Source organism: Homo sapiens, chromosome 5 (genome assembly GCF_000001405.40).
Source record: "Homo sapiens chromosome 5, GRCh38.p14 Primary Assembly".
NCBI lineage: Eukaryota > Metazoa > Chordata > Mammalia > Primates > Hominidae > Homo > Homo sapiens.
Genome location: NC_000005.10, coordinates 81,041,622 through 81,064,533, shown reverse-complemented (window position 1 = coordinate 81,064,533; position 22,912 = coordinate 81,041,622). Strand labels below are relative to the sequence as shown.

Sequence of the window (22,912 nt, the reverse complement as noted above, 5' to 3'; positions counted from 1 at the left end):
GCATCTAAGATGGCCCCCTAATGATCCCCGGCTTCTAGTACTCAACCCCTTAGGTAAAAGGGCCTTCCTTTTGAGTGTGAGCTGGACTTAAGTGACTCACTTATAAAGAATACAACATGGCAGGAGTGATGGGATGGCAATTCCATGATCGGTTTATAAGACTCTGGCTTCCATCTCACTTGCCTTCTCTTGCTGTCTTGCTGGTTTGCTTTGAGGGAAGTCAGCTGCCAGGTTCTGAGCTACTCTACAGAGAGGCCCATGAATAAAGTAGACACTGTAGGAGGCCTCTGGCCAAGAGTCATTTAGGAACTGAGCTCAAGCCAACAACTGGTAAGGAAGCGAACCTAGCCAACAGCAGAGTGAGTGAACTTGGAAGTGGATCCTTCCCCAGTTGTGCATTCAGATGAGAATACAGACCTGGCCAACACCTTGATTGTAGCCTTGTGAGATACCTTTGGGCAGAGGCACCCAGCTAAGCTATGCCTGGGTTCCTGACCCACAGAAACTGTGTATAACAATAAATTGTTTATTGTTTTAAAAATTGTTAAGCAGCAAGAGATAACAAACACAGCCCCAAATGAACAAACAGAAAAGACATTAAAAGAAACAAAGCTAATTCAGGAAAAAAGGTACTTACTACCTACAGAAAGACATGGAAGGATATTAGACATAAGGCAAAAAGAGGCTGCCATGGAAAAGGAGTAATCAGATTTTTTTAAAAAAGCGTTCTTGGAAAAAAAAGATAATTACTAAAATTTTATAGCTCAATGGAATTACTAACCAATAACCCAGACATGGCTAAAAACTAAGCTGGGTGGTCAGAGAGGTCAAATAAAGAACACTAAACAAAAATATAAAGAGATTGGAAATATAAAAGGAAAACTGAGTAACCTAGAGTATAGATCCAAGAAGTCTAATATCTGTCTTGTGGGAGTTCCAGAAAGGAAAAAAGTTACACTGCAATAGGGAAAAAATATTAATAATAAAGAAATGAGAGCTGGGCACTGTGGCTCACACCTGTAATCCTAGCACTTTGGGATACTGAGGCAGGCAGATCACCTGAGTTTGAAACTAGCCTGGCCAACATGGTGAAACTCTGTCTTTACTAAAATACAAAAAATTAGCCAGGTGTGGTGGCGGGCATCTATAGTCACAGCTACTTGGGAGGCTGAGGCAGGAGAATCATTTGAACCCGGGAGGCAGAGGTTGCAGTGAGCCGAGATCACGCCACTGCACTCCAGCCTGGGCAACAGAGAGAGACTCCATCTAAAAAAGAAAAAACAGAAATGGAAGAAACTTTCCCTGAACTGAGCATAGCACAGTTCAAATAGAATAATCCAAATACCAGACAAGATAAATGAAAACATTTCATACTCTGATACATCTTGGTAAAATATCAGAATTCTAAGGATAGAGAAAAATTATAGAAGCTTCCAAAGAGAAACAATAGGTAGCAAAAGGAAGTGAGAATCATGCTGTCATAGTTTTTTTTTTTCTGTCATACTTTTCATCATTAACTTGGAATTCTAGGTGGCAACAAAGAATTGTGGAGAAAATATTTTGAGCCTGCATAACAATTTCTAAAACAATAAACAATACACAGACAACCAATCACTGACCAAGTACCAGGACAAGACAGGAAAAACTTACTATCCCCACACACTTACTGCAGGAAAACATTATGAGGAGGTTTTCCAACCAAACAAAACAGAAATCAAAGACAATAAAATGACATTGAATGCAAGAAAACAAGCCAGATGAAGTAAAGGAAGGTAGAAAGAAACTAGAAGTTGACACACACAAGGTTCTTCTTCAAGGAGCAAATATTCAATGACACGGTACATTTCATTCTCTGTGGGACCAAACACCAACCTTGATACTTTGGGACACAATATTTGTTATAACCACTATGGAAATGTTCCTTGTTGGTTTTTAATTTTCAGAATCAGCCTATGACAAAACACAGAGGAACAATTTAGAGAACAGAATATGTCTAAAAGTTTATAAAGTGAGAATAAATAATAATGAAAGAAAACCTCAGGATTAGAAAAGAAAAAACAATGAAAACACATTAAATGTCTTAACTTATTATACTTATTTTTCCTAGCAGAGACAATACATACTGTCTAAAGTTGATAAATCAATAGAGGTTTAATTATATTATTTTAAGTTATGAAGTCAACCAATTTAAGATCTAAAAATATGTAAGTAACAAAAACAGAGCGGGCAAAAGACAGGGACATAAGAGGTATTGTAAGGGTGTTAAATTTTTCATTTTTATGCCAGAGAATCAATCACACTGGCTAAAATTAGTAAGTCAAGAAATACACAAAAGGGCTTCACACAATGTAATAAACAAATGACTAATAAATGCATGAAAAAGGGTCCTTCTTGCTGGGCACAGTGGCCTATGCTTACAATCCCAACACTTTGGGAAGCTGAGGTGAGAGGATAGCTTGAGGCCAGGAGTGACCAGCCTGAGCAACATAGTAAGATCTCATCTCTACAGTTTTTTTTTTTTTTTTTTTTTTTTTTTGTCAGCTGGGATCAGGTGTGGTGGCTCATGTCTGTAATCCTAGCACTTTGGGAGGCTGAGGCAGGCAGATCACTTTAGCTCAGGAGTTTGAGACCAGCCTGGGCAACATGGTGAAACCCCATCTCTACAAAATAAATACAAAAATAAGCTGGGTGTGGTGGCATGCACCTGTAGCCCCAGCTACTTGGGGGGCCAAGGCGGGAGGGTAACTTGAGCCCGGGAGATCAAGGCTGCAATGATGGTATTCATGCCACTGCACTCCAGGTTGGGTGACAAAATGAGACCCTATCTCAGAAAGGAAGGAAAGAAGGAAGGAAATAAATTAGCTGGGTGTGGTAGCATACACCTATAGTCCCAGCTACTCAAGGAGGCTGAGGCAGGAGGATCACTTGAGCCCAGGATTTTGAAGCTGCAGTGAGCTATGATTGCACCACCACACTCCAGCATGGGAAACAGGGAGAGATCCTGTCTCAAAAAAAAAAAAAAGTCCTTCTTAATCAAAGAATTACAAATTATTTACCAAAACTGGTTAAGATTTTTAGAAAAATAGTACTCAGGGCTAACAAAGATATAGTAAATAGATATTGTCATATAGTACCACTGAAGTGAGTCATTGTAGAAGACAATATCACAATATGTATCAAAACAGGTCAAAATGGTTATATCCTTTGCCTTCATAATTTCACTTCTAATAATATCACTCAAGAAAAATAATCTGACACTTGCACAACGAGATACAAAAGAAACAAAATGTTCATTCATTAAAAACAAATATAAGAAAATGGAGACAATCTAAATATACACATTTATAATATGGGATTGGTTAAATAAGTAATAATATATCTTCATAATGGAATGATAACAAGCCATTTAAAATATGTTTTTTGAAAATAGTCATAACATAATGGCACATACCCAAGATTTATTGATAAATAAACAGAAAAAAAAACAAGAAATTGAGATAAACATTATATGTACATGTACATGTATATATGTTCATACACAGAGGGAGAAAATTAAGTGTATACACAGACATAAGCAGAAGAGGAGAAGGGAAGAGAGAGACAGAGAGAAAGGTACTCTAATGAGAGACATACATCAAAACTTAAAGGGAGCTTTCTTTGGCTGGAGCAATTATGGGTGATTTTTAATTTCTTCTTGAGTTACTTCTTTTGTACTTTTCCATACTTTCCAATATTTCTGTAATATTAAGTGGGGAGAAAAGAGAAAATACATAAAATCCTAATGGTAGTTATTTACTTCATGCATTGGGATTATAAGTAACATGATTTCCTTCTTCCTGGGTTCCTGCGAGTCCAAATTGATTCTTTGAGTCAATAAATATTTACTGAGTGTTGTATATTTGGGAACTGTTCAAAATACTGGGCACAGGAGTAAACACAGTAGGAAAAAAATCTGTGTCTTTATGAAGCTTATACAGTAGTAGAGAGAGAAAGACAACATTAATAAGACAAATCTATCATATGTCACCTGGTGATGAGTACTGTAGAGGAAAAATGGTAAGAGGAGAACAGGAAGTAGGGGGGCAGAGGTTACAATTTTAACCAAGCGGTGAGGGCTGCTTTCATGGAGAAATGGTACTGGAGAAACGACTTGAAGCAGGGACATGCGTGGCTAGCTGATGGAACAGCATCCAGGCCCAGGGAACAGTATGTGCAAAAGCCCTGCAGTGGGAGTGGGCCTAGCCTGTCTAGGGAATGACAAAGTGGTGAGTTTCCTCAAGGGGAATGGTATGGTTTAGATCTGTGTCACACCCAAATCTCACATTGAGATGTAATCTCCAGTGTTGGAGGTGGGGCCTATTGGGAGGTGTGTGGGTCATGTGTGGATCATGGGGACAGATCCCTCATGGCTTCATGCTGTCCTCAAGACAGTGAATGAGTTCTCATGAGATCTGATTGTTTAAAAATGTGTGGCATCTTCTCTCTCTCTGGTTCCTGCTCTTGCTGTATGACCCACTTGCTCCTCCTTCGCCTTCTGCCATGAGTAAAAGCTTCCTGCGGTCTCTCCAGAAGTGGGGCAGATGCCAGTGCCATGCTTGTACAGCCTGCAGAACTGTGAGCCAATTAAACCTATTTTCTTTATAAATTACCCAGCCTCAGGTTGTTTTTTTTGTTTTTTGTTTTTTGTTTTTTGGTGGAGTCTCCCTCTGTTGCCCAGGCTGGAGTGGAGTGGCGCGATCTCAGCTTACTGCAACCTCCGCCTCCTGGGTTCAAGCAATTCTCTGCCTCAGCCTCCTGAATAGCTGGGATTACAGGTGCCCGCCACCATGCCTGGCTAATTTTTATATTTTTAGTAGAGACGGGGTTTCACCATCTTGTCCAGGCTGGTCTTGAACTCATGACCTCGTGATTCACCCATCTCAGCCTCCCAGAGTGCTGGGATTACAGGTGTGAGCCACCGCGCCCAGCCCAGGTATTTCTTTATAGCAATGCAAGAATGGCCTAAGACAGGGAGTAAGAAAGAGGTAGAAGAGGGAACAGGATTCTAAATCACGTAGATCAATAGAAAGTCTCAGGTTTTCCCCCAGTCCAGCGAGGTGTAAGCTTTGATCAAAGGCCTTACAAGATTTCACTTTTTTTTTTTTTTTTTTGAGGCGGAGTCTCGCTCTGTCACCCAGGCTGGAGTGCAGTGGTGCGATATCAACTCACTGCAACCTCCGCCTCCCGGGTTCACGCCATTATTCTGCCTCAGCCTCCCTAGTAGCTGGGACTACAGGCGCCTGCCACCAGGCCCGGCTAATTTTTTGTATTTTTTAGTAGAGAGGGGGTTTCACCGTGTTAGCCAGGATGGTCTGGATCTCCTGACCTCGTGATCCACCGGCTTCAGCCTCCCAAAGTGCTGGGATTACAGGCGTGAGCCACTGCGCCCAGCCAAGATTTCAGTTTTTAACGGGATCCCACTGGCTGTTCTGATGAGAAAGAAGGGTAGGGGTGGAGCACAAGAGGAGAAGGGGGAAGAGTTGGAACTATTACAATAATAATCCAGGCAAAAAGATTACAGACAAGTCCAGGCCTGGGGACTTGGCACAGAATAGTCGTTCAAATGATTCAATGTCATTGTCAAATGAAATAAATCATATTATTCAAATGAAATAAATCATCTAATATGATCTAATATGATTTATCATCTAATATGATTTATTTCATCTAATATGATTTATTTTACACACTCTCTTTTTTTTTTTTTTTTTTTTTTTTTGATACAGGGCCTTGCTCTGTTGCCCAGGCTGGAGTACAGCGGCCTCTCAGGCTCAAACAACCCTCTCACCTCAGCCTCTCAAGTAGCTGGGACTACAGGTGCAAGCTATCACACATGGCCAATTGTTTGTGTTTCGTAAGATGAGGTCTCACTATGTTGCCCAGGATGCATGGCTCCTTATTCTTCACATAGTAATTTTCAGGTCATGCCATTGATTTCATTAGGGCTCCCTAGTTTACTACTCCTATTCTGCTCTTACTGGGGTATCCCCCCAACTCTGCATCACAAAACTTTCTTTACATATCCCACTAGTAAATGGATGTCTGCTCCAGGATTGCATCAAATCAACTGAAAACACATGCAGGGCTTCCCTTCACTATTTCTCAAACCACTGGCATTTCTATTCTACTATATTGCCAACACATATCTTATGTGATTAAATTTTCCATTTACTAGGTAGTACTCAAGTTTTAAAATGTTTGCCTAATCTCCTTATTATTTTCATTTGGTTAGCTATTTTTTTATTTTGTATTTTCGCTTTTTAGTTCAACTCCCACAACAAAAAAAGGATCCCCCTGCCAAAGGACATATAAATCCACTTGGTGAAAGCATAACTCAAAATTCAGCTGTTGAGTACAAACAGATGTCAACATTAGGATATATATGGGAATAAAATATTAGTGTGTAATATTTATAAGAATTAATAATCATGTATTATATATTTCAAGATAGCTGGAAAACAGGGTTATTAATTAATTAATTAATTAATTAATTATTTTTGAGGCAGGTTCTTCTTCTGTTGCCCAGGCTGGAGTGCAGTGGTACAATCACAGATCACTGCAGCCTCGACCTCCTGGGATCAAGCCATCCTCCTGCCTCAGCCTGCCAAATAGCTGGGACTACAGGTGCATACCACCAGGCCTGGCTAATTTTTTGATTGTTTTGTGGAGACGAGGTCTCACTATGTTCCCCAGGCTGGTCTTGAACTCCTGAGCTCAAGTGATCCACTGGCCTCGGCTTCCCAAAGTGCTTGGATTATAGGCACGAGCCACTGTGCCCTGCTGAAGAGAGGTTTTTTAATGTCCTCATCACAAAGAAATAATAAATGTTTAAGCTGATTAATATGCTAATTTCCCTGATTTTATCATGATACAATGCATGTGTGTACCGAAGCATCACCTTGTACCTCGTAAATATGTACAATAATCATGTATCAATCATAAATGAACAAATAAAAATAAATAAAAAATCCTAACCACCATCACTCCATATGGAGAAAAGGAAACATTCAAATAAAATGTTGAAAAGTCCAAAGCAGAGGCACAGTGTGAAATTACAGACCTTAGTTATCTTATAGAAGGGCAAAAATTATATTAGCTTAGCAAAAAGTTGTTGTTGCTGGGCCAGAATTCCACCCCACTTATTTTGACTGAGGACGTATATATGAAGCAAACTACAGCAAAACCCAAATGAAATGTCACAGCCCAGGTCACTAAAGGAACAACTGGTACCAGCCACCGCAAAAACATGCCAAATTGTAAAGACCATCAATGCTAGGAAGAAACTGCATCAACTAAGGAGCAAAATAACCAGCTAACATCATAATGACAGGATCAAATTCACACATAACAATATTAACCTTAAATGTAAATGGGCTAAATGCTCCAATTAAAAGACACAGACTGGCAAATTGGATAGAGTCAACACGCATCAGTGTGCTGCGGGTATTCAGGAGACCCATCTCATGTGCAGAGACACACATAGGCTCAAAATAAAGGGATGGAGGAAGATCTACCAAGAAAATGGAAAACAAAAAAAGGCAGGGGTTGCAATCCTAGTCTCTGATAAAACAGACTTTAAACCAACAAAGATCAAAAGAGACAAAGAAGGCCATTACATAATGGTAAAGGGATCAATTCAACAAGAAGAGCTAACTATCCTAAATATATAGGCACCCAATACAGGAGCACCCAGATTCATAAAGCAACTCCTTAGAGACCTACAAAGAGACTCAGACTTCCACACAATAATAATGGGAGACGTTAACACCACACTGTCAACATTAGACAGATCCACGAGACAGAAAGTTAACAAGGATATCCAGGAATTGAACTCAGCTCTGCACCAAGCAGACCTAATAGACATCTACAGAGCTCTCCACCCCAAATCAACAGAATATACATTCTTCTCAGCACCACACCGCACTTATTCCAAAACTGACCACATAGTTGGAAGTAAAGCACTCCTCAGCAAATGTAAAACAACAGAAGTTATAACAAACTGTCTCTCAGACCACAGTGCAATCAAACGAGAACTCAGGATTAAGAAACTCACTCAAAACCGCTCAACTACATGGAAACTGAACAACCTGCTCCTGAATGACTACTGGGTACATAATGAAATGAAGGCAGAAATAAAGATGTTCTTTGAAACCAATGAGAACAAAGACACAACATACAAGAATCTCTCGGACACATTTAAAGCAGTGTGTAGAGGGAAATTTATAGCACTAAATGCCCACAAGAGAAAGCAGGAAAGATCTAAAACTGACACCCTAACATCACAATTAAAAGAACTAGAGAAGCAAGAGCAAACACATTCAAAAGCCAGCAGAAGGCAAAAAATAACTAAGATCAGAGCAGAACTGAAGGAGATAGAGACATAAAAAACCCTTCAAAAAATCAATGAATCCAGGAGCTGGTTTTTTGAAAAGATCAACAAAATTGATAGACCACTAGCAAGACTAATAAAGAAGAAAAGAGAGAAGAATCAAATAGACACAATAAAAAATGATAAAGGGGATATCACTGATCCCACAGAAATACAAACTACCACCAGAGAATACTATAAACACCTCTACGAAAATAAACTAGAAAATCTAGAAGAAATGGATAAATTCCTGGACACATACACCCTCCCAAGACTAAACCAGGAAGAAGTGGAATCCCTGAATAGACCAATAACAGGCTCTGAATTTGAGGCAATAATTAATAGCCTACCAACCAAAAAAAGTCCAGGACCAGACAGATTCACAGCCGAATTCTACCAGAGGTACAAAGAGGAGCTGGTACCATTCCTTCTGAAACTATTCCAATCAATAGAAAAAGAGGGAATCCTCCCTAACTCATTTTATGATGCCAGCGTCATCCTGATACCAAAGCCTGGCAGAGACACACACACAAAAAAGAGGGTTTTAGACCAATATCCCTGATGAACATCGATGCAAAAATCCTCAATAAAATACTGGCAAACTGAATCCAGCAGCACATCAAAAAGCTTATCCACCATGATCAAGTGGGCTTCATCCCTGGGATGCAAGGCTGGTTCAACATACCCAAAATCAATAAACGTAATCCAGCATATAAACAGAACCAACGATAAAAACCACATGATTATCTCAATAGATCCAGAAGAGGCCTTTGACAAAATTCAACAGCCCTTCATGCTAAAAACTCTCAATAAATTAGGTATTGATGGGACGTATCTCAAAATAATAAGAGCTATCTATGACAAACCCACAGCAAATATCATACTGAATGGGCAAAACCTGGAAGCATTCCCTTTGAAAACTGGCACAAGACAGGGATGCCCTCTCTCAGCACTCCTATTCAACATAGTGTTGGAAGTTCTGGCCAGGGCAATCAGGTGGGAGAAAGAAATAAAGGGTATTCAATTAGGAAAAGAGGAAGTCAAATTGTCCCCGTTTGCAGATGATATGACTGTATATTTAGAAAACCCCATCGTCTCAGCCCAAAGTCTCCTTAAGCTGATAAGCAACTTCGGCAAAGTCTCAGGAAACAAAATCAGTGTGCAAAAATCACAAGCATTCCTATACACCAATAACAAGCAAACAGAGAGCCAAATCATGAGTGAACTCCCATTCACAATTGCTTCAAAGAGAATAAAATACCTAGGAATCCAACTTACAAGGGATGTGAAGGACCTCTTCAAGGAGAACTACAAACCACTGCTCAACGAAATAAAAGAGGACACAAACAAATGGAAGAACATTCCATGCTCATGGATAGGAAGAATCAATATCATGAAAATGGCCATACTGCCCAAGGTAATTTATACATTCAATGCCATCCCCATCAAGCTACCAATGACTTTCTTCACAGAATTGGAAAAAACTACTTTCAAGTTCATATGGAAGCAAAAAAGAGCCTGCATTGCCAAGACAATCCTAAGCCAAAAGAACAAAGCTGGAGGCATCACGCTACCTGACTTCAAACTATACTACAAGGCTACAGTCACCAAAACAGCATGGTACTGGTACCAAAACAGAGATATAGACCAATGGAACAGAACGGAGCTCTCAGAAATAATACCCCACATCTACAACCATCTGATCTTTGACAAACCTGACAAAAACAAGAAATGGGGAAAGGATTCCCTATTTAATAAATGGTGCTGGGAAAACTGGCTAGCCACATGTGGAAAGCTGAAACTGGATCCCTTCCTTACACCTTATACAAAAATTAATTCAAGATGGATTAAAGACTTACATGTTAGACCTAAAACCATAAAAACCCTAGAAGAAAACCTAAGCAATACCATTCAGGACACAGGCACGGGCAACGACTTCATGTCTAAAACACCAAAAGCAATGGCAACAAAAGCCAAAATTGACAAATGGGATCTAATTAAACTCAAGAGCTTCTGCACAGCAAAAGAAACTACCATCAGAGTGAACAGGCAATCTACAGAATGGGAGAAAATTTTTTCAATCTACTCATCTGACAAAGGGCTAATATCCAGAATCTACAAAGAACTCAAACAAATTTACAAGAAAAAACAAACAACCCCATCAACAAGTGGGTGAAGGATATGAACAGACACTTCTCAAAAGAAGACATTTATGCAGCCAACAGACACATGAAAAAATGCTCACCATCACTGGCCGTCAGAGAAATGCAAATCAAAACCACAATGAGATACCATCTCACACCAGTTAGAATGGTGATCATTAAAAAGTCAGGAAACAACAGGTGCTGGAGAGGATGTGGAGAAATAGAAACACTTTTACATTGTTGGTGGGACTGTAAACTAGTTCAACCATTGTGGAAGACAGTGTGGCGATTCCTCAGGGATCTAGAACTAGAAATACCATTTGACCTAGTCATCCCATTACTGGGTATATATCCAAAGGATTATAAATCATACTGCTATAAAGACACATGCACACGTATGTTTATTGCAGCACTATTCACAATAGCAAAGACTCGGAACCAACCCAAATGTCCATCAATGATAGACTGGATTAAGAAAATATGGCACATATACACCATGGAATACTATGCAGCCATAAAAAAGGATGAGTTCATGTCCTTTGTAGGGACATGGATGAAGCTGGAAACCATCATTCTCAGCAAACTATCGCAAGAGCAAAAAACCAAACACCGCATGTTCTCACTCATAGGTGGGAATTGAACAATGAGAACACTTGGACATGGGAAGGGGGACATCACACACTGGGGCCTGTCATGGGGTGGGGGGAGGGGGGAGGGAAAACATTAGGAGATATACCTAATGTAAATGATGAGTTAATGGGTGCAGCACACCAACATGGCACATGTATACATATGTAACAAACCTGCAGGTTGTGCACATGTACCCTAGAACTTAAAGTATAATTAAAAAAAAGAAAAGAATTATCTTATCCATTGTGGGCTTTATTTCTTAATTAAAGGAAGAATTTAACACAACTCAAGTAATTATCATACTTTCTTAATATTTGTTTAATGTAAAAGTCACTTAAGAATCTAATTTATGGGGAGAGATATCTCTGTGGTTTGTTTGTATATATGTGCACAGAGAATAAAGACTACTTAGAATAAAAAAAAGAAAGAAAGAAAAACTCCACCTATCTCCAGGGTTATGCTAAATTTTATCCAGAAAACTGTTTGGAATCAGCGTTCCTCATGCCAGGAGAATCATGAGGCCTTTGGGAGTGGAGAAAATCCAAGCATGGATGACAATAGTACAGCTCCTATCAAAGCAACATTTGCTTTGACCTTACCTAAGCAAGGCCAGTTTCTCTATCTTTACTCACACCCCTTCAGCATTACTGTCACATACTGTTTCTGGTTCTCAAGTTCTCTCCTGTCAGTATCTCCACTTCATTGGCTAATTAATATTTTTTAGATATCACATTAACATGAGGTCCTAACACTGTCACCTCCACCAATGTCTTCTCTCTACTGACAGACTCTTCCCTCCTAAGCTGTCTGCTCTACAGTAAATGGAAACACAAGCATCTTAGTTAAGAGAGATCAAAAAGAGGAACAAAAATTAAAGACTAAAAACCCCTCTTCTAAACATTGCTCCTTCTTTCCTGTTCACAGTCACAGTTCGTTACTTAAACATTTCACTAAACTTTGGGACATGTGGAAAGTTGTCGATAATCCTTTCTAAAGCACAATTAAATATAAAAGCAGGCAAAATATTTTTACTAGGAAATACAACAGAACATCACTAATGGTAAAATTATTACCTTGGAACAGAGAAATTTTAAGGAGTGCTTCTAAAAGTAAATATCTTTTATAGTACTATATTATGAAGCTGAAGAAAATGTTTTGTATCACAATAGACATTAATGATTCTTTCCTAACACTGAGACTTTCATTTCTGTTCCATGTGCACAAGCAGGTATTGGTAGAATTATCTTTATCATCACAGAAAATTCTCCAGCAAGAATACAGATACAACTATATTAATTCAACAAGAATAGATTAAAGGGGTTTATATATGAGAACGTATAAAGACTCTAAGCAAAAAAGCAACGAAAATAAGTGTTGGTAAGGATGTGAAGAAACTGGCACCCTCAATACGTAGCTGGTGGGAATGTAAAATGGTGCAGCCACTGTAGAAAACAGTTTGGCATCTCCTCAAAAAGTTAAACATAGAGTTACCAAATGACATGGCAATTCCACTCCTGGGCATATACCCAAGAGAGTTGATAACATATGTTCATGTACAAATGCACACAAATATTCATAGCAACATTATTCATACTAGCAAAAAGTGGGAACAACCTAAATGGCCATCAACTGAGTAGATAAATAAAATGTGGTATATCCATACAGTGGAATAGAATTCAGCCATTAAAAGGAATGAAGTACTAATATATGCTACCACATTGACGAAGCTTGGAAACATTATGCTAAGTGAAAGAAATCAGACACAAAATGTTTGTAGGATTCCATCTATATGAAATGTCCAGAATGAGCAAATCCATAAACACAGAAAGGAGATTAGTGGTTGGCTAGAGCTAGGGGAAGTGGGGAATTGAGAGTGACAGCTATCGGATATGGGGTTTCTTTTGTGGTGTTGAAAATGCTCCGAAATTAGTGGTGATGGTTGTACAACCTTGTGACTGTACTAGAAAAGCACTGAATTATACACTTTAAAATGATAAACTTCATGGTATATGAAGTATATCTTGATTTTAAAAAATATTTTTAAAAAGCAATAGAACAACTTCCCCCCAAAAGTAATATACTTTGATTGCATTTTAATTCAAAAACTCTAATGTCAAAAAAATCCCATAGGTATAACTACAAGACAAAAAAATGATGCAGGGTGATTTGAACAAACATAAAAGATGAATATATTTTTGTCATACAAAGAGCTTATTTAAAAACTTCTAGAAAAACACCAATACCAAAAAATGGGAAAAGGACATGAGATGATAATTTATATAGTAAATATAGACAGATATTAGTGATAGCAAAACACAATCTTATCAATAATCAAGAAAATGCTTATTATACTAATATATCATTTTTAACCCACTGATATAGTAAAGATTTTAAAAAATGATTCCAGCTTTCTTCTGCCCTAATGGAGGGAGATTAAATCAGTACATGCATTTCTGAAAAGCAATTTGGCACTGTACTGGGGCAGGGCACAAAAGATGAGTAGTACACAATTTGCTTTGAAGGAATTCAGGTTGACAGAGAGATACAGACACATAAACAAATCAATGCAATAATTTCTTAGGTGCTTCGAGCGAAATAAGAAGTTACAGTGAGGGCTCAAAGAAGGGAATGGTCAGCCCTTCCTGCTCGTAGAGGAAGAGGACCAGGAAAGATGCAAGCTGCTAAGAGCTCCATCCTGAAAGATGTGTTGGTGTAAGTCAGACTGGAAGAGACATTCCCACACATTAAAATTCCTGTATGTGGTGGCTCCAGCTGGAGCCCAGGACATAAGGGGAGGGGTGGCACGAGGAGTTCGCAGAGGTCAGCTCAGAGGGGCCTCGCTTGGACTGGCTCACTCCATCCCAGAACTCAGAGCAAAGCCTAGCATTGGGTAGGGAAGCAATAAATATCAGTGAAATAATGAATATTTTCTCTTCTTAAAGCAACATGGAGGACTGTTATCTCTCTTTCTCTGTATATATTTAAAATTTTCTACAATAAGAAGTAAATTGAATTATAATAACTAAAAGCAACTGGGAACCCCGGAATTCCTTCAGCAGATCAGATGTTTGCTTAGAAAGGGCACTCTAGTAACTGTAGAGAATCGATGGGAAGGAAGCCGACCTGGAAGAGACAGGCGAGGTGGCAGAGCAATAGGACAGGCAATCAGTGTTGATGGCCTGCACCAGGGCAATGCTGCAGACATGTGGAGAAACGCAGACCAGTGATGTTCTGGGGTAGAATCCACAAGTGGTGACTGCAGTGAGCAGTTAGGCTGGGGTCAGGGGATGATATCCTGCTGGTTTGAGTGACTGAGTGTACAGGAGAGTATGCCTTACATTCCTATCCAGGAAGGGAACATGAAGCTGCCTAGAGAAATACATGAGTTTGGGTTTGTCTTGCTTAGTATCAAGTAATTCTGAGCACCCAGGGAGAGATGATATATAGATAGTTCAATATAGAAAAATACATGTTGGTGAATTTCTACATATAATGGAGGCTATATATCTTTGTGGTTAAGTGCATAGGTTTTGGAGTCAGCCTGCCCAGGACTTGATTCCAGCTCTATCGTTTACTAGACTGGTGGCCCTCAGGAGGTCATTTCATCTCTCCAATACTCAGATTTCCTGGGGATAGTGCCAGCTACTTCATGAGATATCATGCACATAGCATGGTATTTAGCAGAGAAAGTATTGAGAAAGAGCAGCTCTATCTACACGACCTAAGTCTGGGGAATGGATCCAAGTGACGAGACAGGAAGAGCAAAAGCAAAGCCCTACATAGCAGCCACAGTAAAGAAAGGGACAGAACACAAGGAGTAGTGAAATAGGACAAGAAGAAATTGTCAAAGGAGTAAAGGGAGAATCAGGAGGGAGAGACATCGTAAACAAAAGGAATGAAAATTTCGAGATAAGACTTAGATCCCTATAAACTAATGTTAAAAGAAACCCTCCAAATTAGCATAAAAAGATGGCGAATAATATGAATAGCAAATAAAAAGTCTGTAATTATATCATTCTACCTATCTATCCATATGCAAATATACAGAAAAATCTGGAAGTATGCACTCCAAACTGTTACCAGTAAATACTTCTGAGGAAGTAAATGGGCTTGGGGAATAAAGGGGGAGGGGGTGGAACTATAACTCTTTACTTTTGTATTGTCTGAATTTTTTTTTTTTTTTTTTTTTTTAGGGAACTTGCTTTTATGTATTACTGGTGTAATTCAAAAGTAAGTATTAAATATGAACAGAAAGTTGAAGTTATATAAGGAAAGAAAAGCTTTGGAAATTCATTGTTGACCCAGGTGACAACAGTTATAGTAGAGTAGGGACAAAACCCACCAGGAAGAGCTGGAGAGAGGAAGAGCTGCGTGCCTAGGAGAGCAACCGAACCATTTCTTCAAGAAGCCGGGCTGCATGTGCAAGAGAAGACAGTAGCTAGAGGAGTATTCAGTGCCAAGAAAAGGCTTTAATTTCTCTTACAAGACAGGAGAGATTTTTAGGAGATCCAAAAAATACAGGAAAAAAAGGTAAGGAGCGAGGAATAAACAGACTGGAAATATAAGAGAGAAATGGAATAAGTAATGGAGCAAGAAATCAGAGAGAGAGCTCAAAGTAGAAATTTGTCTTGAACCGGGGATGGTTCTCCTGGAGCAGGCAAAGAGAATCATGAGGATGGCTCCCTCCTGCAGGTGAGATGGTGTGCGCATGAGGACGGGGCACCTGCCCGGTGAGTGTAGGCAGAAGGTCTGACTGCCTTTTCAGCTGGATGCTAAATGTGCAAGACAAGCACTTGAAACAAAAACACTGAGAAGTTGGAAAGACAGCTGACGAAAGTATTAACAAAGTATTAAAATAAGAAAATTCAAGCCCGACTTTTCCCTATAGAAAACAATTGTAACCATCAAATCAAGTGAAATATTTCACAGTTTAGTAGTTTAGTAGTATCCCTTCTCTTTCATGTTGCACTCTGTAGGCTGTAAAAGGAAAAAAAATGTTGAATTATCTTTCATTGTGGCAAATATGAAGGCAAAGCCCTGACAGAATTTCTTAGCAAATAATAATAATAATACCTTAAATGAACAAAATCCACATTTTCATCTTTAAAGTAGTGACAGTTTTACTGTTACAGGAAGAATACAAACTATGGTGTTGGATTGCTTTAGGCTATAACATCACTGTCCATCTCTAATTTTTCTAGTCTTGTGATGTTGCTGTGACACATGAAACATTTTCAGCTTTTCTATGTCATCACTCTTCTCTGATTTGTGAGGGATTTCTCTCTGTGTGCATTCTCTAAAGGGCTGATTTTAAGGGGAGGATATGATATACACAGCAGCCTTTAGTGCTGTACAGATTTTTATACTATATACCTTGCTGCAAATTAAGCCTTTTTCCAAGGATGAGACCACAAGCATTAGGTTCTGGGTGTTTGGTGCAGCTACCACACTGTGTGTGTGTGCATGTGTGTGTATTTTAAGGGAGAGAGAGAATGAACAACAGCTGTCTCAGACACAGGTAATCAAAAAGACTAAACATTAAAAACAGATCCAAGAGGCTGCATTACAGCTTTCTTTACTGGAAAAGAGAATAAGGCTTAATTGAAAGGTTTAACTGGATGATAAAGTCTCTCTGCTCGTCAGGTTGGAGACTGACAGGGTGAAACAAAGGGTTAGGTCAGGCCCTTGCCAAACACCATCTGACTGTGAGCTTTATGGAGTGGAAACATATTCCTTTTTGTAATTCTTTTTTCCTTTTGTATGCTCTGCCCTTAAAGGAAAACCTACGATCTGCCTGCTCAAGATACACCCTGAGGGGAGGGAAGAGAATCGAGGTGGAGATTTGAGCAGGTTCAGCTGAAGAAATCAGAAAGCAGGCAAAAGATAGTGGGACAGTTTCAAACACAGGACACACAAGCCATCTGCAGGGTGTGCAAAGCTACACACATTCAACAGTGCTCTGTGCTAGGCTCAACATTCTCAATATCTGTTTTCCCAATCCCTCCACCTTGGTAGAAACCCAAACTCTCCTCCCTCCTCAGGATACACCTTACTTCTCTATCAGCCCCCTGGATACTCATTCTCTCATACCCCACACGCCAAGGGATCAATTCAGTGTCTCACAGTTTCCTTCCTTTCCCAGCGATAATCATACTCTTCCAATTTCCAGCAGAAATTGCCCAACATTTCCTGGCCAATGCTCATCATCTTTGCCCACAAACCTGTCCTCATTCATCATTTCTTCTCCCAAAGAGTGACACCGTCCAAGCTAGGGGCCTGAGAGATGTGTTAGATGCCACCCTAGTCTAATACTGCTCAAATCCAGATAGTCACAAAGTCCCTTGAAGTCTACCCCCTACATCTCTGGAGAACCTTCCTCGTTTCTTCCCAAATGTCATAGTCTAGGTCCTGTGGGTATTAGGCTTAGTCAAGGATGGGAAGACCCTTGGAAGATATACAACTGGATCCATGTCCAGGCCATGACTATCTCCTAACTGCTGATACTTTGCTTGGTCCATGTTCTAGCAGATGAAACATTGAAGAGTTGTCTTTTCAGCTAACAAGCCCTAAGGACTCACAATCAACCAGGTCAGTTTTTGATTGTCCTAGTGTCTACAACTAAATCAACCATGATGGACACTTATGGACAAGAAAACAAAGAAGAAATATCAGGTTATTTTTTATGTCCAGAGTTCCATACTCAAGTAGCAACCACATAAAATAAGCATAGACTTAACTACTATGAAAAGGCTCTGGCCTCAACTCAACCAGACAAAAACAAGACTGGGTCTCGGTAGCAGCGTCCCCTGAACTAGTGCCATAACATGTGGTAAAATGATATCCTAAATGTGCCCGTGTTCTAGAAATGCAGTATTGGCCAATGGTAAGCAAAACATTAAAATGAGCTTCTTGGACTGGTCAAAGCTTCAAAATGAAAAATGTTAATTCCAAAACGATTTTTTTTTTCTGGGCCAGATCTAAAGGAGAAAACATGCAATGGGACATCCCAGAAAATGACCCTAAGATTCTCTGAAGGCAAAGTGGGGCAAGTAGATTCTGCTCTGAGATACGAAAGCCAACAGAACAATGTGATGTTCATAGCACACAAAGACAGCACACCCAGGCTGGTACTGAAAAGCCATCCCAGGAAAACAAAAGTAAATGAGAGAAGGGGTTCTGAGCAGTCTTTGTATCTAAGTGGCATCTACAGGAGGATTTGTAGCTCAGAAAAGAACATCTCATGCTAAACTAATCAAAAGTTTTGATTTTTTAAAAAAGGATCAATAAAACCATAAATATTGAGTATTTAAAACTTTTATATTAGAAAGGCAGCAGTACTGAATTAATGCCATCAGACTGTCTTTCGAGGGTGAAATGTTAAGTCAACCAACCATAATTAATTAATTGTGTTTTATTACAATGCCAAGCAAAAATGGCTGATAATTCTTGCTCTGAATCAGCTTCATTAACTTTCTGGCTTTGTTCATACATGAACAAAATCAAGGTGAATTTTGCAGATCCAAGTTTAAACCAAAAACTCAACTTAATCAAGCTTAGATAAAAAAGTTTTCTTCCCTGATTTAGAAAACAAAAATTTAAGAAATATCTCAATGCAAAACAGAAAATATAAAAACACAGTATAAAGCAGTCAGATTAAAAGAAATTATCAAAGAACCCAGTCCTAGGTCTCAAGTCAAGGGAAAAGCAAACCTAATGGACCAAAAAGTCAAAACATCAAGGGAAAAAGTCAATTATTAACCAAATCTTCAAATCTAAAAAGAAAAGAATTTTCACCATTGTATCATCTAAACCACTTAAGTGGTTTCTAAAGTCTGTCTCCTGACAACATCACACATGCCCTGGTTTTGACTGTATGTCAAACACCACCAAATAATTACTGACTCAGTTTCCTGTAGATGATAAAATGCATTCCTGGGACAGAAAAAAAGATTTCTTACTTGGAATCTAATCATCTTTAAAGCAATTTGCATTATTTGTGTTTGGTTCACCAAGATATTTGCTTGACAACTACAAAGGCATTTGGGCTACTGATGGTGCCTGCTCTCCTGGAATGAAAAAGATAGGAAAACAGGCATGTTTTAAATTATGTATTTTAACTCCTAGGTAGAAAGGAATAGAGATTGTAGAAAGGAAAAGATTGTGTCTGGAAATGACCCAAGGGCTCTACCTTGCCAGCTTGATGCTTCTTTCATCTTTGAAGGCCTGACTTTCTTTCTACAGCAAGTCATTCTGCATTAGTCCTAAGTCTGGATCAAAACCCTCAAACAGAGAGCACCAAGAGCAAGGACGGCTGAACCATGTGCCGGGGTCATGATGACTCGTGGCAAGCTCTCCTGGGGTCCACATGGAGAGTGGCACTTAGTTGCCAGCCCCATGCATCTCAGAGAAAGAAAAGGAACTGAAATATTTTGCAAATAACATCTTCTACTCTCAACCCTAGTCTCACATTAATCTACTTTCGTCTTTGAATGAGGAAAAGAAAAAAAAAATAGAACAAGAAAAGACTGTAGTGATAAAGAGGATAACGAAGATAAGTACAATATTGAACATTAGCTAAAGGTTCTGAAGTCCAAACCCAATTCAACTTGGGTTTGAATCCCAGATCTGCAGCTTAACAACTTTGTGTTAGAACTTGGCCAATATGCCTGTCACAAATTTTTGTTTTCTCCTCTGTAAAATGGGGATAATAATATCCTATTAGCTTATTGTGAAGAATAAAAAAAGATAAGTACATAAAACACTTGGCACACTGCTTGTCAGAGAAGGTGGTAAATATAAGTAGCTGAAGAGGGTAGGGAGAATAGAGGTGAGACGAGGGAAGGGGAGGGCAGACTTTCAGAGAAAGCGTCAAGGGTTCAAAGAACAGCCTGAACTCACTCAGAATAAATACCTCATTGTGTGTGTGGTTTTTTTTTAGATGGAGTCTTGCTCTCTCCCCAAGACTGGAGTGCAGTGGTGTGATCTTGGCTCACTGTATCCTCCAACTCCCAGGTCTGAGCAATTCTCCCACCTCAGCCTCCCAAGTAGCTAGGACTACAGGCGTGTGCCACCATGCCCGGCTAATTTTTATATTTTTAGTAGAGACGGGGTTTCACCATGTTGGCCAGGCTGGTCTCAAACTCCTGGCCTCAGGTGATCTGCCCACTTCAGCCTCCCAAAGTGCTGGGATTACAGGCATGAGCCACTGTGCCCAGCCTAAATGCCTCATTCTTACAATCAAACTGAAGAAATCTCCTGATCACCTACTACATAATTAGCAATGCGCTTCACTCAGACATGAATGTGCCCCAATCCCTCTCCTCATTCTCAAGGTGTATACAATCCCACTCAGGAAACAGAAATCTAACACATTCACTATATTAAAAAAGTAATGATAACCAGAATTGCTAAATCGCCCACGTGCAGTACACAATGCAAGTGCTGCAGCCATTTGAAGAGGGCGCCAGTGAGGGCTGACTTGCAGGGAGATGTCTCAGGGCGGGAGTGGTAGAGGGAGGAACAGACAGATGGAGAAGGGAAGGCTCATCAGGTGAAGAAAAAGAAAGCATGCCACAGCTAGAGTGTTGCCCCAAAATACCCAAGAGATGAGCAAGACAAGAGAGCAGGGAGTAGTGGAGCAACAGCCTGGATTAGGGAGTGGACAGGCAAAAAGCAAGAGCTTGAGAGCCATGGGAAACAAAACTGAACCAGGTTTAGGGATTGAATAGGAAAATAAGAGAGAGGGACCTGCCTTGTATCTCTTTCAGATTTCTAGTTCCCGTTTAAGACCCTGTACACACATTTCCACCTTCCTGATGTTTCTTAGGGGGAAGCGAAATCACAGTGTTCTATTTCTTTAAATAGAGGATGTCATCCCCTTCTTTTGATAACCGAGGTGCACAGAGCAGGGTTTACAAATGTAGGCTAGGCTAGGGCCATATCCCAGCTCTGTGGCTTACTAGCTGTGTGACCTCAGGCAGGAAAACTAACTTTCCAGGCCTCAGTTTCCTTATCTGCAGACAGGGGGAATTATAATGCCCCTCTTGCCGATTGTTGACAGAGTGAGTCAATACATTCAATACATTCTGTAATTGAAAAGCACATATAATAGTGCTTGGCACATAGGAAGAAATCCACAAAAGTGACTACTACTACTACTTATTATTATCATTGTATCTATTACCATTAATCTTTAGCTGGAATGTAGCCATGGAAAGCTCAAATAATGATCTCACACATGACTAAGGAATAGGTACCAGGAGAAAACTCATCTTAGAGTTGCAAGTTCTTCCAAAACTACCACCAACAGTGATAACCCCAATGCAGGACCCAGACAATCAAGTACTACACAGGAAGACTGAGCCTATACCTGGCTTGGTGAATGGCCTCCATCCACTCTTTACCATCCTGCTCCTCCTCACAGCGCAGCTCCAGTGGCTTCTGACCTTCATGGCCAAAAAGAACAGTAAAGTAATACTGGAAAGAAAAAGAAACACAAAAAACTTAGTTCTATTTTTCAAGCACAACAGCATAATAACACAGTATCTGCCTACAAAGGGTACATATTTACAAAATGCATCAGTGCTTATGCAAATTTTATTTCAAAATGTAACATTTCACTCTGGGTCCAGTTGGCAATGACTCTGCACCTAGAAGATACCACAGACTGCATCTTAACACACCTCAGTAAGGGTCAACCCTTAACACTCCTTTAATGTACCTTTCTATAATGTACAAAAAAGAATATTGCACAAATTCGGCTATGCAGATAAATGAAAGGTAATATGATATTTTCCAAAAGGTTTTCCTTTTTTGTGGTGTGATAAAGCTGCAGGAACGCAGAAGTCTACATCACTGCACTAGCTAATTTTATTGTCTGTTCTATTCTATATCTATTCTCCATTCTGGGAAGCAATATGCCTATAATTATGCAGTCCAATTGCTGCCATTTGCCTCTTCTGCAACCTTAGCAGATGTCATCAATTGCTTATACCCCTGTTTTCCCAGAGGTAGCCTTGCAATTCTGTTCAACACAGTATTCCAGAATGCATACTTGACACGGGAAAGGAAATGTAATTGCCATCCTAGGGGTCAAGATGTGATCAGGATTTCTTTTTGGCAGAGGTGTAATGTAAGTTATTGTTGGATGAAAGGAACTGGGCTCAAGTAGGGAAAAAACTGGCATTTATCAGGGGTAAAATAATTTCTCTCATATAAGCCTTATTCATAATCACCAAAAACTGGAAACAACCTAAATATCCTTTAATCGGTGAGTGAATAAATAAATGCAATACATCCAAACAATGGAATATTACTCAGCAATTAAAAAAAGAAGAATTCTTGATAAAAACAATAACATGGAGCAAAAGCATCAGGTTGAATAGAAAAGTCAGTCTCAAAAGGTTACATACTATATATGATTCCTGTTGTGTGATATTCGTAAAATAGGGATAGAGAACAGATCAGGGGTTTCCAGAGGTCAGGGGTGGGAGTGTGTGACCACAAAGGAATCGCATGAGGGAGCTTACGCAGTGATAAAATGGTTCTACATACTGATTATGGAGGTTACGCAAATCCAAGCATGTGTTTACATTCATAGAACTGTGCACCAAAAAAGGGACAATTTTATACTATAAATACGAAGATAAAAATTTGTAAATGGCTTCTCAGGATTCCACAACAGAGATAATCATATAACCAAGATTCAAAGACTCCCAAACTCATGCTAGTT

General features: G+C 39.5%; 1 protein-coding gene across 5 annotated transcripts in view; it reads right to left on the bottom strand.

Moving 5' to 3' along the window:
- RASGRF2 (Ras protein specific guanine nucleotide releasing factor 2) overlaps positions 1–22,912 on the bottom strand; it is a 269,800-nt gene that overhangs the window by 165,629 nt on the left and 81,259 nt on the right. For all 5 annotated transcript variants that reach the window (NM_006909.3, XM_005248565.2, XM_017009683.2 and 2 more), the window contains exon 2: positions 21,551–21,657. In NM_006909.3, coding sequence (NP_008840.1) covers positions 21,551–21,657 — 107 coding nt within the window. The remainder of the gene's footprint in view (positions 1–21,550; positions 21,658–22,912) is intronic.